This window comes from Homo sapiens, chromosome 7, assembly GCF_000001405.40.
Source record: "Homo sapiens chromosome 7, GRCh38.p14 Primary Assembly".
Taxonomy (NCBI): Eukaryota; Metazoa; Chordata; class Mammalia; order Primates; family Hominidae; genus Homo; species Homo sapiens.
In genome coordinates this window covers 67,185,677-67,203,283 of record NC_000007.14, presented here as the reverse complement: position 1 = coordinate 67,203,283, position 17,607 = coordinate 67,185,677, and the positions used below count along the sequence as shown (strand labels likewise).

General features: G+C 41.8%; 1 protein-coding gene across 5 annotated transcripts in view; it reads right to left on the bottom strand.

Moving 5' to 3' along the window:
- The window catches only part of TYW1 (tRNA-yW synthesizing protein 1 homolog), a 242,682-nt gene that overhangs the window by 36,231 nt on the left and 188,844 nt on the right, over positions 1-17,607 (bottom strand). For all 5 annotated transcript variants that reach the window (NR_134540.2, NM_018264.4, XM_017012392.3 and 2 more), the window contains one exon: positions 7,947-8,114. Coding sequence is in view for 4 of the 5 variants with exons in the window: in NM_018264.4 (NP_060734.2) it covers positions 7,947-8,114 (168 nt within the window). In the remaining variant the exon portion in view is untranslated. The remainder of the gene's footprint in view (positions 1-7,946; positions 8,115-17,607) is intronic.

Here is a 17,607-nt window from a genome sequence, read left to right as displayed (position 1 = left end):
TATACCATGCAAACACTGATCAAAAGAAAGCCGAAGTGGCTCTATTATCGTCAGATAGAGTAAACTTCTGTTTATATATCCTTCTTCCAATGAGGAAACTACAGAGATGGAGGAGATTAGCGGTCGCCAGAGGCTAGGGATAGTTGGTATCGGACTACAAAGGAATAGCATGAGAAAGATCTTTGTGGTGATAGAACAGTTTTCTATCTGGGTCGTGGTGATGGCTACATAAATCTAAACACAAAACAGCACAGAACTAAACACACACATGTGAATGCATTTAAAATTGGTGAAATCTGAATAAGGTCTATGGGTTGTACCAATGTCTATTTCCTGATTTTGATAACGTACTATGATCACGTAAGACGTTATCACTGGGGAAAACTACATGAAGGGTACCTGAGACCTTTCTGTACCATTTTGCAGCTTCCTGTGAATCTATAATTGTTTTAAAGTAAAGACTTGGTATTCAGTTTTCTTTTGTGGCTGTCTTGGTGTAAGAATAGGAAAGTAGTCCTTCATTCAACATGACTGCAGCAGTTTGCACTCTCTTTCAGAAGTCCCGGGATTATTAGTAGAAATTGAGGCTGGGCTTACGGTGGCTCATGTCTGTAATCCCAGCACTTTGGGAGGCTGAGGTGGGAGGGCTGCTCGAGCCCAGGAGTTTGACAGCAGCCTGGCCAACACAGTGGGACCCCATCTCAATAACAAATTTAAAAATTAGCTGGGCATGGTGGTTCATGCCTATAGTCCCAGCTACTCGAGAGGCTTAAGCAGGAGGACTGCTGGAGCCTGGGAGGTTGAGGTTGCAATGAGCCATGTTCACGCCACTGCACTCCAGCCTGGGTGACAGAGCGAGATGAGACCCTGTCTCCAAAATAAAAAAAATAAATTGAGCAATCTCCTGAGAAAGCTGAGAATGATAAACAGGTATTTGATGATTCGGACCTCTCTGGTTTCAGGTCACCTGACCCAGCTCAGGAGCTTAAAGACAGGGCCAATGGACCAGGCCTGAGAAGTGACTACTTCCTAAGAAGTGGTACCATATTTTCATTTCTTTCACTAGACACTAGTATAAGAATACAGAGGCCATGACTGGAAAATGACAAGATCTGCATACTCCGAGATCAACAACGAAAAGGAAAAGAAGCGCCAGAAAACACATAATTGGAAGGAATCTAAATGAGCCTTGTTTTGCTTTTTGGATGGGTTTCTGTATTATTTCTTCGTGGCCATGGTTCCCAAGCAGTGGGAACAGAGTACTCACTGGGACACTGCAGGGTATCTTGAATTTTAAAGAGGAACGCAGTGACACTGGACATCTGTTGGGCATTTCAACAACTGCTAGCTTGAGATAGTTCCCAGTTTCAACGTTAGGCTGTGTCACACTTCTTTCAATGATGTCATAACAAATAGAACTGCTAGGTATCTCTTTTGACCTACAGGTCTTGTGAAAAAGCTATTGAGGCACTAGAGCACTATGAATGTGCAAGTTGGAAACCTCCACGTTAGGGTATATCTGGTGTTTAAGTAATTAATTTCAAAGCATTTTGGATGCTTGACCATCTGTCTCACTCTGGGCATTCTAAGGACAACTTCTCATAATCTGGACTCCATAATTTGATATCTATATCTTTGCTGGAATTTCTTCCTGACGTCACCGAGTCAACCCATTCACTCTCTACCTACATGAAAAATAAATATGCAAGTAACATCATCTCCATGGACGACACCATCACAATCACTCATTTCCCAGGTTAGAGGCCAGGGAGTCATGCCTGAACCTGCACACTCGTTAATGGTCCTCATTTAATACTTTGCCAGGTCTACCACTCACCACTCTCATTCATCACAGCCTTTGTCTCAGACCCCCATTTCACCCTCAGATTGCTAGACCTGAGGGTGAAACAGTTGCTGGACCTGAGGGTTATAACAGGTTTGTTGTTGTTGTTGTTGTTGTTGTTGTTGTTGTTGTTTTAGAAATGGAGGAGGGTCTCACTCTGTTGTCCAGGCTGAGCTAGAATTCCTGCACTCAAGTGAGTCTCCCGCCTCAGCCTCCCGAGTAGCCAAGACTACAGGCACACGACACCACAGCTGGCTATCGCAACAGTGTTTTAACTGGTTTCTCTGTCTTGCAGCTTTTCAATCCATCCCCTGTAATGCTGCCAGACAATTTTTTCTGAAACACAAATCTTCACTGTGGCACTCCCCTACCTAAAGCTCTTCAGTGCCTCCCCATGCCCTTTAGGGAAATAGAGAAAATGACATTTAGGATGCCATTCAATGCTATCTGTGATCTTAACCCTGCCTAATAATCTCCTTTCCCTGCAACCCTTCTCTTGACCTTCAGCCATCCCAAACTACTTGTGGTTCTCAATGTGCCATGTCTCCGTGCTTTTCCTTGGACCTCTGCTTGTACTGTTTCTGCTTAAATGTTTTTCCTACTTCAGCCATCATTTAAGATCCAGTTAAATGGTGCCTCCTCTGTGAAGCCTCTCCTGATGGGACCAAGTAGTCCTCAGAATGCACCCATTGAGCTCCATTCCATTCTTCCACCATAGCTCTGATTACACTTCTCAGCACTTTTTTTGTTGAGATATTTGTCGTTTTCTGTTAGCCCATTCTTGAAGGCAGGAACTGATATGGTTTGACTGTGTCCCCACCCAAATCTCACCTTGAATGGCAGTTCCCGTAATTCCCACGTATTGTGGGAAGGACCTGGTGGGAGATAACTGAATCATGGGGTGGTTTCCCCCATACTGTTCTTGTGGTAGTGAATAAGGCTCATGAGATCCGATGGTTTTATAAGGAGTTTCCTCTTTCGCTTGGCCCTCTTTTCTCTCGTCTAACACCATGTAAGAGGTGCCTTCCACCATTATTGTGAGGCCTCCCCAGCCATGTGGAACTGTGAGTCCATTAAACCTCTTTTCCTTTATAAATTACCCAGTCTCGGGTATGTCTTTATCAGCAGCGTGAAAGCGGACAAATACAGGGACCATTGTTTACTCATCTTTGTATTCTCAGAGTACCCAGCCCTCTGTATTCTCAGAATACCCATGTGCCTGACACACATGGGTATTCAACAAACATTATAGAGAATAATGAGGGTCTATCTCAGATTCTCTCCTTTGTCCTGGCGCACACTTGGTGCCATGTCTGGTTTTGCACTGATCACACTGATTTTCAGTCATTTTCCCCACTAAACCGCGAGCTCCTTGTGGGTGGGGGAAGACCAATAAAAGCAGCAGTAACAACTATTTATTAACTGCCTACTTCACTTCAGGTTCCCTTCTAAGTTCTTTCTTTCTTCTTTTTCCTTCCTTCTTTCCTTCCATCCTCCCTCCCTCTCTTCTCTTCTTCTCTTTCTCTCTCTCTTTCTTTCTTGATGGGTTCTCGCTCTGTCGCCCAGGCTGGAATCCTTCTAGGTACTTTAAATATGTTACTTTTAATGTTGATAATGGCCTTGAAAGCAATACTATTAGTATCAATTTTGAATAAGGATATGAGGGATTTAATTAGAGAGAACGGAGAGACAGAGAGAGAGGAACAGGGAGTCTAGAAGAGTGGTTTAAAATCAGTACAGTAATGAATAATGACCCACTGGGACAAAGAGTAGAATTCCTGAGTCCGTACTGATAAATAAACATATAAATGGGAGGAAAGGGAGGGCTTTTGTTTACAATAGAATGCTGAAGGCAAATGTGGAAGGAGTGGTACACTTACAAAAATCACTATTTTACAATCAATAAAACATTTTATCAGGCAGGAACCATCAATAAGTGCTAAGTCAATGGGGAAATTTTGGTAAGAAGCGAGATACTGCATTGTCTTAAGGTACCTTTTCATAGATAGCTTATCAGGTGCAAAGGAGAGAAACAGAAGAACTGGGTCAAAGTAGTTGGCTGAACAAAATCATCACCACTAACGAGGGAGATGTGGACACCGGGTACCAAGTGTGACACGCTGAAAAGGACACGTCGCCAACACAGTATTCCATCTGAGGACATACAACCTCAATCTAGCCACAAGGAAAAATCAGGCAAATATAAAACAAAAACCATTTCTTTTATTTATTTATTTTTTTTTTTTGAGATGGTCTCACTCTGTTGCCCAGAATAAAGTGCAATGGCATAATCACGGGTCACTGCAGCCTTGACCTCCTGGGCTCAGATGATCCTTCCACCTTAGTCCCCTAAGTAGCTGGGACTACAGGTTCATGCCATCACGCCTAGGAAATTTTTCTATTTTTAAATAGTGATGGAGTCTCACTATGTTGCCCAGAGTGGTCTTGAACTCCTGGGGTCAAGGGATCCACCTGCCTCGGTCTCCCAAAGTTCTAGGATTACAGGTGTAAGCCACTGCACCTCACCAAGAAACATTTCTATTAAAAGAAAGGGAAGGGGGGAACTGTATTCTTTTAAAATAGCAACATCATAAAAGACAAAGGAAGACTGTGGAAATGTTCCAAATTGAAGGTGACTACAGAGACTTAAGAAGAAAATATAGTATCTGCCTAGATTAGGGGTTGGGTAACTGTGGCTGGTAGGCCCAATCTGGCCACATTTAGCTCACAAACCTGTTTTAGGGACAGTCTTTGCATTTTTAAAAGGTTGCAAATGAGTAAACAAGCAAAGAAGAATATCTGACAGAGGCTGTATGTGCCTTGCAAACCTCAAATATTTACTTTATATAAAAATTAAAATATTTACTTTATATCTTCTTTTTTTTTTTTTGAGATGGAGTCTCACCCTGTCGCCCAGGCTGGAGTGCAGTCGCCCAGGCTCGACTCACTGCAACCTCCACCTCCCGGGTTCAAGAGATTCTCCTGCCTCAGCTTCCTGAGTACCTGAGATTACAGGCCCCCGCCACCACACCCCGCTAATTTTAGTATTTTTATTAGAGATGGAGTTTCACTATGTTGGCCAGGTTGGTCTCGAACTCCTGACCTCAAGTGATCTGCCCGCCTCAGCCTTCCTCCCAAAGTGCTGGGATTACAGGCATGAGCCACCACACCGGGCCTACATTTTCTTTATAAACAAAGTTGGCTGACTCCTATAGAGTAGATCCTGAACTGGAGGGGGAAATGCTATAAAGGACATTACAAGCTGATCTGACAAAATTTGAATATGGATGGTAGATTAAAGTCATGTATCAGTTTACAATTTTGAAGTTGATAACTGTATTGTGGTTGTAAGAGAAAATATTCCTAGTCTTAAGAAATTCACACTGAAACATTTAGGGCAAAGGACCATGACCAATGCAACATTTCCTCAAAGGGTTCAGAAAAGACGATGCGTGCACGTGTATGCTGCGGGGGCGGGGGGCAGGGGTAGGGAAGGGAGGGAGAGAGAACGAGAGAGAACGGGAGCAAAAGAGAGAGAGCAAGAGAACAAGCAAATGGCAGAAAAATGGTAACAGGTGATTTTGCAAATCTATGTCCTTTGTTCTATTTTTATCATTGCACTTTTTTGTAAATTTGAAATAATTTCCAAATTTAAAACAAAAGAAAAAGAAAGAAGGAAGGAAAGAAGGGAATACAGGCTCTGGAGTCAGATGCCAGGGCTTAAATCCCATTTCTACTCCTTACTGGCTGTTTCATCTTGGGCAAGTTACTGAACCCCTTGATGTGTCAATTTCTCTTCCATAAGACAGAGCTCAGACTGGGCATGGTGGCCCATGCCTGTAATCCCAGCACTTTGGGAGACTGAGACAGGTGTATCACTTGAGGTCAGGAGGTCGAAACCAGCCTGGCTAACACGGTGAAACCCCGTCTCTACTAAAAACACAAAAATTAGCTGGGTGTGGTGGCTCACGCCTGTAGTCCCAGCTACTCGGGCGGCTAAGGCAGGAGAATCGCTTGAAGCGAGGAGGCAGAGGTTGCAGTGAGCCGAGGTTGCATCACTGCACTCCAGCCTGTGCAACAGAGCAAGACTCCATCTTAAAAAAAAAAAAAAAAAGACAGAGGTCTCGATAGTACCTACCTTGTAGGGATGCTGTGAGGATTTAAAAATACACTTGGCAGTGTCTGTCACATATTAAGCATTCACCAAATTAGGTGGTTTTATAAAAATAAAAATAACTGAAGCAGCAATAACTGAATCATGCTATGAGCCAGGTGCTGTGTTAAGTGTTTCATAATAATGGCCTTGGCTAGCAATATACCCATTTTCCAGATGAAAAGCTAAAGAGACAGGGGCCAAGATTAAAGCCCTCTAATCAATCTGACTCCACGCATAATCTCTTCTCATTCATTACACTACAGAAAGATGAAAGAACTTGCACAAAGTCACCTAGTTAACAAGTGGTAGTGTAAGATTTGTGCCAAGTCTACTTTTCAATTAACCCTGTGGCTTTCCATTCTTCATGTCTGAGCACTGTGTCCCTTGCTGCACACCCTGGTGTCCAGAACTCAGCAGGCATTCAATAAACACTTGAAGAACTGAATTGGCTTGAATGAGATGGTTTGCTATCTATTTCCCCTATCCTCATGGGAAAAGAGAAGAAATCTTACAGACTGAAGTAAAGGATTAGACTAAAATTAAATTGTCCTGTTTTAAATGTTCCTTTGAATACTGCCAATGGTTTTGAAAGATGCCTTGTATTATAAAAAAGATCAATGGACTAGAGGGAGAGAAGGCTGTGATTCCAGTTTGACACAGCCATTTAAGCCAGTTTCTTCACCGTTCAGACCTCAGATTCCATAAGGAAAAAGTGAAAGGGTTAAATCACATATCTAAAACACCACATTAGAGATCTTCTGATCCTAGGCTTGACTTGATTTCTAGAAATAATCTTCTAAATGCAACGTACAGAATGCAATCACAGGTAACAAGGCACTGGAGAAGACAAGGCAACATGAATGAGAACCTGCAGAAATGACAGACAACAGACACACGCCCACAGGAACTTTAGTCATTGGAATTATCAGATACAAACCATAAAACAACTCACTTCCAGTACTCAAGAAGATAAAACCCAAGCTTGAAAACTTCAGCAGGGAAATAGAAATTATACAAAATAGCATTTTTGAAATAAACCAAGCAGAAATTATACAATTAAAAAAACATAAAATACAAAATTAAGAAATTAATGGTTGAATTTAATAGCACAGGAGACACAGCTGAAGCAAGACTTAGTGAACTGGAAGATGAATCAATAGAAACTACCCAAAATGAAATATGGAGAGATGGAGAGACAAAAGCACAAAAAATACAAATGAGAAGGCAAGAGATATTAAAAAAATATGTAATGACGTCTAACATATGTTTAATTGGAGTCCTAGAGGAGAACATATAATGAGAAAGAATAAGTATTTAAAGAAATAAAGACTAAGAAATTTTCCAGAACTTCTCCAGAAAATTAGCAAACTATTTTAGTGGCCCACCTCTATCAAGAACTGGATTTTTCCTTTGCTAGGAGTTATTTACTTAAGAAAGATACTAGATTCATATACTTGTTCTATCTAATAAAAGGACTAAAGGGGAAAAATGGAAATAGTGTTATAAACTAAAATCCCAAACAAAATTCTCCAGATGCCAAGATTCAAGCAATCTAAAATTTGATAGATACCACAATATTGCTTCTGACAGCTAGAAACTCATATGGGGACTATTTACTATTTTAGCTTTTCCCTGTCATTCCAGGAAAGGACTAGAGGTTATTACAAGGGCATTTTGCTTTTGTTTTGTTAGCATGCACCTTCTAAAATTGCAAACCAGAAAGTACTTCAAGATGTCCAGAGGAGGGCTAAACAAGAAGCAATTTCACATGGAAAAGAGTTTATGAGCCCAGCAGACAGAATTTAGTGCTCTCTTATTTTTGTTTTGGGAAAGGTAGCAAACAAGCAGATAATCCCTATAACAATGTAAGAGGAAAATAAAGAGAGAAGAGAAGGAAAGAACAGCAGGGTCGGGGAACAGAAGAATCCATGTTTGAGTTATTCTTACCTTTCTGTGTGCTATCAGGAGGCAATTAGAGTGTTCGTGTTCACATGCAATTTCATATTCGGGGATCAGATCCACCAACTCGTGGACAAACTGTACCACTTCCTCATGCCAGGGCACGTGGGCCATGGTAAGACTGCTTGCTGAACTTTCTCCGCAGTAGGTAACGCCCTGTGGAAACAGTATAACCATCAGAGATGACTACAGACCTACCTGCATGTCATAGAAGAAGACTTTCAGAGCCGGAAAACCTTCTTGAGGTCAACCAATGCAATCCAGTCCGTATTTTACAGTGAAGGAAGTGAATATAGAGATGATAAAATCTGCCTAGGAGACCATACAAGTAGCTACTGACAAAGACAGCAGGCTGATGCTCTTGCTACTCTATGACATTGCTGGGGCTTAAGTACCTGCGCTTTCTACCGTTGTCGCAATCTAGGCTGTCTGGTCACAATAATGTATTTGAATCAACAGCATGTCTTTTGATTCAGATTCATCTGTGCACTATAATTGAGGAATTATGAAGGGGTTATCACCCCTTAGGACAATAATGGGGGCATAGTGGACACTCATAAAAATTCACTGACCAAGTAATTGATTCACTGGGAAAATAAGCTGAGCTTCCATTTTCTAGTATAATTGAGATTGAAACTGGCAAACTTTTTCCTTAAAGTGACAGATAAGGATCCCTTTAAAATTATTATTATTATCATTTTTGAGTCAGAGTCTTGCTCTGTCGCCTAGGCTGGAGTGCAGTGGCGCAATCGGGGCTCACCACAACCTCCACTTCCTGGTTCAAGAGAGTCTCGTGCCTCAGCCTTCTGAGTGGCTGGGATTACAGGCGCCTGCCACCATGCCTGGCTAATTTTTGTATTTTTAGTAGAGATGGGGTTTCGCCATGTTGACCAGGCTGGTCTTGAATTCCTGGCCTCAAGCAATCTACCTGCCCCAGCCTCCCAAGGTGCTGGGATCACAGGTGTGAGCCACTACACCTGGCCTAAAATTATTCTTTAGGGAGTTAATTTTGTAATGCACTTTGAATGTGGTTACATAAACAATCATGCCAAAAGGGAAATATATTTGTGCATGTACCTATATACCTTTACACACAACTACATATACACATGTATTTCACCAACACAGAAATTCTTAAGTACAACTGCAGAAAGTTAAGTTATCTAACTCTTTTGGACTCTACCTAATAGCCAAGGCATACAAGACCCCAGAATTTCATAACTAAGTTCTTTATTTGGTAAATTACATAATGGTAAAATGATTAATTTTCTAATACTAAAAGATTTATCTTATTTCTTCAAATAAATCTTAACTCTGTGGGCTCTTCAAATACCCACAAATCAAACTTTTCTCAACAACTTGTTGAGAAAATCCCAGAAATGATTCCGCTAAGTGGGGAATAACTTGGAGGGAGTGGGGAGAAAGGCATGTGCACCCCTCATACACATTCACTCACACACACACACACACACAAACACACACAAATACATATAAAGACAGGACACACACACACCACAGACAAACTGGAGAATGCAGAATGACACTGAATTTTTTTTTTTTTTTTTTGAGACAGAGTCTCATTCTTGTTGCCCAGGCTGGAGTGCAGTGGCCTGATCTCGGCTCACTGCAGCCTCCGCCTCCTGGGTTGAAGTGATTCTCCTGCCTTAGCCTCCCATGTAGCTGGGAATACAGGCACGTGCCACCACGCCCAGCTAATTTTTGTATTTTTAGTAGAGATGGAGTTTCGCCATGTTGGCCAGGCTGGTCTTGAACTCCTGACCTCAATTGATCTGCCCATCTCGGCCTCCTATGTGCTGGGATTACAGATGTGAGCCAACACGCCTGGCCAACACTTAATTTTTAAAAACCAACAAATGAGCAGAGTGACCCTGACCCTGATGACAGAGCTGGGACTTGGATGAAGACTCACATGAGCTTTGCCAAACACTCTACTCAAGACAGCTGTTCAAACAGATGACTGGTGCACTAAACTGTGATGGCCTTTGTGGAATATAAACCACAGCCACCCAGCTTAATTACAATAAACAAGAGAATCTTCTCAGTTTGCCCGGTGATTTAGAGAATTCATTAAACGGAGTTCAAGCTGAAACTGTGCCCTACAGAGTTAAAGAAACCAACGACTAACAGAAATCCTTGTGTTTGCAGGATGGCCGTATAAGAAAATAAACAACTTGCTAAAACTGCTGAAACTCCCTCTGCTTGTGAGATTTAAAAAAACTGGCTGAAATTGGTTGGAACCAACATGTCCAATGGAGTCTGAATAGAAAGAGCTTGCTGACATCACAGCCCGAATTTCCACCACATTTCATACTAACTCCCCCTGAATTTGCATATGCAAACCACAAGCAAGCATGATCAAACAGACAACTGCGCGTGTCCGAGGACTTTCCAGATCTCCCCTTTCCTTCCACCAATCACTTACTAATCTGAGAATCCATCCCCTAATAAAATCACTGCCTTAAAGCCTGCACAGGAAGACAAATTTGAGCTGGACTCAGTGTCTCTTTATTAGTCGACTTGCAATAAAAAAGCTTTCTTTTCCCCCCTCAAAAACCCTATGTCAATTAGTATTGGCTTCCAGAGCATCAGGTAGTGAGCCCCTTTTGCTCAGTAACAGAGCTTAAGGTGAATAAAAAAGGCAAATAATGATATGGTTCAAGACATCATTACGAAAGCATGGCTGGAAAACTGCTAGCCTTACCAAGTGCATAAAAAACATGAAAATTATTTATTGATAAGCATTAGTCATAAAAGTGTACTCTACCTCAATTTAAATACTGCTTATGTGTGGATTACACAAACAACCATGTATGCAGTAGCTACTTCAAAGGACTTTCTTTTTAATATTTAAAAAGTTAGTTCACTGAATCATAGAGTTGTTAGATAAAATCTTGTCTTCGTGAGAACAGCTTTTGAAAATATTTTAATATTTTATTACTCAGCAAAAATAGCCATGAAGCACTGAGGGGAGATTTAGTTTGGGAATGGAATGAGAGAATGCCTGCTGCGGTTCATTATCATGACTCCACCCATTCCTTATGACTCTATGATGCTTTATGGTATTTTCACATAAAAGTTCTCATTTTTGCCAGACAAAACCCTTTGAGGAGGCTAGGCACGGTGGCTCATGCCTGTAATCCCAGCTCTTTGGGAGGCTGAGGCGGGCAGATCACTTGAGGTCAGGAATTCGAGACCAGCCTTGCCGACATGGTGAAACCCTGTCTCTATTAAAAATACAAAAATTGGCTGGGCGTGGTGGTGCCCGCCTGTAATCCCAGCTACTTGGGAGGCTGAGGCAGGAGAATAGCTCGAACCCGGCAGGCGGAGATTGCAGCAAGCTGAGATAGTGCCTCTCCACTCCAGCCTGGGCAACAGAGCAACACTCTTGTCTCAAAACAAAACAAAACAAAAACCAAACAACAACAGCAACAAAACCCTCTGAGGGAAGCAGTCCTGGGTAACTTCCTGAGTCAACCGCAGAGCCAGAGGCTGCACCGTGACAGAAATGCTCTGGGCAGAAAATGTTCTTGGTGACTTAGACTGGGGGTCACCTCAGGGACCCCGAGCTCTCACTCAGAGCCCAATGGCTCTGTCTGGTTTTCTCTCTGCTGCGACTGCCCCACTTCATCCTACCCTCTAGTCTACTGATGGCTTGCCCTGACTTTATTCCTGAGCACAGAATTATCTAAAAAACTTTCCCTTCATATCACAGCTGTCTGCCACCTTCTCACCCACTCTCACCCTCACCCTCACCCCCAACTCCATTTATCAGAAGCAGCAAGTTCTTCACCAAAACTCTGAATAAAGAACAGTCTGAAGAAAATAGATGGGTACAGCGTGGTGATGGAAAAGCCAAGTCACTCACACCAGAATCTGCAGGCTGAGGAGTAACAAGCAGACCCCAAGAATGTTTGTGAAGAACAGGATCATTTATGCATCCTTGAGTTTGCAGTGAAAAGCATAACCCACACTTTTATAACCTGTGGCTTTTGGACCCACCCCACTGCCCTAGGAGATGGGGGCTGCTATACTGTGGCTATCTGAGCGTTCAAACCTCATGCTGAAATGTGATCCCCAGTGTTGGGGGTGGAGCCCAGTGGGAGGTGTTTGGGTCACAAGGGCAGTGTCCATCTGTCTGTCTCTCTGTCCGTCCGTCTGTCTCTCTTTCTCTGCCTTCTGCCATGACTGAAAGCAGCCTGTGGCCCTCACCACAAGCAGCTGTTGGCACCATGCTTCTTGTAGAGCCTGCAGAACCATGAACCAAACAAACCTCCTTTCTTTATAAATTAGCCTCAGGTATTCCTTTATAGTGATGCAAACAGACTAAGATGGGGCCATAAAGTCTTCCTCACTGGCTGCTTGGAGAGTTTGCCTTGGGATTCATGGTCTGTGGGAAGAGCAGTATTTTGCTGGTTTGACTATTTGATATTCTAATTAAACCAACTGGGTGTCAAAAGACTCCTAATACTGTTTTTGTCCCCTATAGTTTGATGAGAAAATAAATAATGACGTTATGACATTTTTTCCCCATAATATACCCCAAATACTTCATTCCTTTATCCTAAAAATGCTTCAATAACTCTTTAAACCAGCCCGAGCTTCTCACCACGGCACGAGGCCTTCCTCACCTGCCTCCGTAGCTTGCGCTAACAATGGACCATCAGCCATTCAAGCCCCTGTCTTTGGCCATATGCACAAGTAACTCTAGAGCTGGACTGCCCACTCAGCATCCTGTCTGCACCTGGCTAAAGTGACCCATCATTTCTTTAACCTCCATTCAGGAACCTCTACGCTATCTGACCCTGATCTTATCACATCCTGTGCAGTTATCTGTTACCAGGTAACTGGTATAAAGAAGCGTCAAAACTCTGAGCCCTTTGAGGGCAGGGGCTGTGCCTTGCTCTTCTTGGCACCCCAAATCAATCTATGCTAAATGAACAAAAAATCAAGTCAGACATTCTCCTATGACATTAAACTCCACAACTCTTTTCTAATCTAGTACAAAATTTCATTCACATGACTCAGGAGTTTTCTACTCTGTAACAGGTATGAACCAGCTGATAAACGCTGGCTAGGGACTGCTACATACAAGAAAAACTGACAGTATTCCTCACCTTTGTGGGAGAGAGTGAGGCTATGCTAAGACAATCATTTTGCAGGGTGCGTTCTGCAAGGATTGAGCACTACACACAGCTAGGGTGCCAACAGTAAGTAGTTTTAAGTCATTTGACAACAAATAATTACTGAGCACGTCCTATTCTCAAGGTGTAATGCTAGGCAGAGAACACACAGACAGTATTTCATTTACAAATGGATTGTGTTACAAAAGTTTTCAGCAAGACAGATGGTTGTAACATGAAACCTTTTCACAAGCAAGCAAGCAAATAATGACAAGGAAGATTCTCAGGCTAGCAAATAAAGGCCTCTTTAAGCCTAATGAAGCTAAGATACATGCTAATTTACAAGGAATATAGCAGAAAAATATTTTACAAGACTGGTAAAGAAAGAAAAGAGGAAATCGATATGATAAAGCAATAGCCTCTATTGATTTTGTTTAAATAAATGTGCTTAATGGAAAGTGATCTAAAAACTTAATGAATCTGGGCATACATTACCCCATTGAATTCTCAAAACAAACTTATTAAAGAGATATTCTTATGCAAATTTTAATATTGACAGAATTTAGGCTCAAGGAGGATGAATAACCTGTCCTAGGCTACACTGGCACATTTTAGGTGGGTATCAAAACTGGGCACTGCCTCTCACCCCACATGAGACTCTAGTAAGTGCAGACTATGGGAGACCCCAGATCTGACACGCACACACGGACAGACACACACAAACACAAACACACACACATACATACACATACCACACACACATGCACATACACACAACACACGCACACAACACACACATGAACACACATACATGCACACATACAACACACAAGTGCACACACCACACACATGCACACACACAACACAGATGCACACACACCACACACATAAACACACCACACACTCACACGTCAGGGAGAAAAGATGCCGAGGGCATGCCTGGCCATGACGCCACTCCCGCATTTACAGTCGCCCTTCCTGACCCAAGGGTTGTTCATGCTACCACTTCTATGACCAAAGTTAAGATGATTTTTCCTTTGACTCACAAAAGAGAAACTGCACACAGGGTAGATAGAAAAAGGAAGGTAGCGTTTCCTAAATCCAATTAGGTTAGTGCTACAAGCAAAATGAGAAAAAGAAGTTGAATGGGGTGATACATACATGTTAGAAACCTTCCTCACACTGGATTTAGAAATTTGTCAACAATTCAGTACAGTACTCTGAATGCACACACATACACATACATGTGTGTTTCCATTTTAAAATCAAAGAACTTAATAACAAAAAGATAAGCAACTCAATTGAAATACAAAGGGTATGAACAGCATTGTGTCTGCATCTGCAGGGAGCTCCAGGCATATCTGTGAATCTAGGGCCAATTTGTATTATTGATTTCACATCTTGGGGGCATTTATATGACCTTGAGGTACCATAATACTAAATTTGAATTCCAAGGCCATTTGAGGGTAAGGCCCTGGAGAGACTTTTCCTTTTTACCAAACGCACGGGTAGGGAACAAGCCTTCCAAGTGTTACTGTGTCCGTGGGTAAGTTTTTCCCTAATCCATCCTTTCATTGAAGGTGAAAGGGCCTAGTCTTCTGTCCTTTAAACCCGAGTACTGTCTACTAGGACCATGGAGTACTTCCAGAATGGTCTCTTTTCTTCCCGCTCCAAGAGTGTCTCCCTTACAGCCCTGACAGATATGCACCTTCCCAAACGTATGGTTTTCATAACAGATTCACTTCTAAGTGTTAATCCTTAGAGAGGTTTGAGGTTATAGCCTGCCATATTGCTAGTTCTTATCAAATGTTTTATGGAGAGGTCTTATTATTATTATTGTTGTTGTTATTTATTAATTTTTTTTTGAGACAGAGTCTCGCTCTTTTGACCAGGCTGGAGTACAGTGGCATGATCTCAGCTCACTGCAGCCTCTGCCTCCTGGATTCAAGTGATTCTCATGCCTCAGCCTCCCGAGTAGCTGGGATTATAGGCACCTGCCACCACGCCCAGCTAATTTTTGTATTTTTAGTAGAGACAGGGTTTCACCATGTGGCCAGGCTGGTCTCGAACTCCTGACCTCAAGTGATCTGCCTGACTCGGCCTCCCAAAGTGCTGGGATTACAGGCATGAGCCATGAGGCCCAGACAATGATTTTTAAAACTCCTCTATTTTAGAAATTTTTAACTTTAATTAATAAGACAACAATGACAAAAAGATGTATTTTCAGACATTCTGTAGTTCAATCCTATTGAACAGGAAAAGCATGCCTTCTCCATTTACTGATTTCATTTGTCTTTTGAATTACAAACCAATGCATGCTCATTGTAATAATCCACACAATACATAATTACAAAAAGTAAAATTAATAAACATTTCCCTCCCCTTCTCCCAAATAGGTCACTGTTAACAATCTGACAGATATCCTTCCATACTTTTCTTACATAAATACATCTGAACATACAACATTGAAAATGTAATCAAGGATTTAAAATGCAAATTAAAATTTAAAAAATGGAATTGCATAATAAATATTATTCTAGAATTTGTTTTTCCTCTTAGTAGCAGTATGCTATATTCTATAAACATCCCTTTTGCGACTACAGCATCAAAGGAAGAATCTCATTAACTTGCTGGACAAATGACAGGTAAGTTAACAAAGCATGAGACTGACCTCCAGTGACCAGGCATTTGACATTCATTGCAGGACATTTCTCCCTGGGGTCTTTTATGAAAGATATGACATGACTGAATGTGCCTCCCTCTGATGTAACATGAACTGTTATTTATTACATTATATTTTATCATCAAAATATTTATTTTAAGCCAGGCGTGGTGGCTCACGCCTGTAATCCCAACACTTTGGGAGGCCAAGGCGGGTGGATCACCTGAGCTCAGGAGTTCAAGACCAGCCTGGGCAACATGGCAAGACCCTGTCTCTACAAAAAGTACACAAATTGGCCAAGCATGGTGGTATACACCTGTAATCCCAGCTATTTGGGTGGCAGAGGCATGAGAACTGCTTGAACCCAGGAGGCGGCGGTTGCAGTGAACCGAGATTGTGCCACTGCGCTCCAGTCTGGGAGACAGAGTAAGACCCTATCTCAAAAAAAAAAAAAAAAAAAAAAAAAAAAATTTAATTGTGGTTATACATTTCTCCAAGAGTTTTCAATTATAAAATCTCTCAGAGTAGGTCATTTTACTTTTATAGATTTTTGCTTATTTTCAATAAAACATTCATTTCCCAACAGCACATTCATATAAAATTTTTCATCTCCAGAGCTTTAACAAGGCCTATCACATGGAGAGAGCTCACAAATATTGTTGAATGCAAGGACAAAATAGTAAAATGGAAATTTTGAAAGAAAACTTTGTTGTTAATAGCATCTTAGCTAGGCCGGCTGCAGTGGCTCATGTCTGTAATCCCAGCACTTTGGGAGGCTAACGTAGGAGGACTGCTTGAGGCCAGGAGTTCAAGACCAGCCTGGGCAACATAGTGAGACCCCATTTCTATAAATACAAAAATGTTTTAAATTAGCCAGGTGTGGTGGTGTGCGTCTGTCATCCAGCTACTTGGGAGGCTGAGGTGGGAGGATCACTTGAGCCCAGGAGCTGGAGGCTGCTGTGAGCCATGATTGCACCACTGCACTCCAGTCTAGGCAACTGAGCAAGACTGTCTCAGAAAAACAAAACAAAACAAAACATCTCAGCTATAGACAGAAGGCTTTATCTATTTCCTAGTGATGTTCATAGTTTGGTGAACCAAATAATACCCATCAGAGAAGTATACTGTTTACCAAGTAGCTGTCATTCTTTAAAAAATAATGTTGACTGATTTTTTTCAGATTTAAAATACCTGTCCTTTATAGAAAAACATGACTGCGAAAGTAAGAAAGGAGGGGGGAGAGGTGGGGCGGGGGGGAAGAAAGGAAGGAAATGAAAAAAAGGGAGATCCAGCCAAGCTGCTTTATTATAATAGAGGTTTTACTACAACATAATTTGAGGCAGCATTCTTTAATAGCTAAATCATAAATTAAAACACCACTAATCTCTGATGTTGGCAAGGTTTGCTTAAGCTGATACATATATTTTCAGCTGCAGTTTGTATCTTTGCATCATTAGAGCTCCTGCCAAGAGTAGCCTTTTGAAATTAAGTGCAATTTCAAGAGTGTCTTCAGCCTGACCAGAGATAAAATGTTACGTACTCAGACAGCAGTATTTCATCTGTTCCCACCTCCCCACCCCTCTAGAGTAACACCAAAAGCTAAACTCACCAAAAGACAGCTGTAAAACCTCTGATATGACACAGACAGGGTTCAGTTTCAAAGCCATAAACGGAAATGAGCAGAGTTGGCTTTCCCAGACAGGGTACATTTTCTCATCACTTCTCTTGTCTTGTGGACAATTAGTTGCCTAAAAAAGCCATTACTTCCAAACATTATTTCTAGCCCTATCTTACCCCTGAAACTTCGAGCTTATAAAACCTATGATCTATTTAAACTTCTACTTGG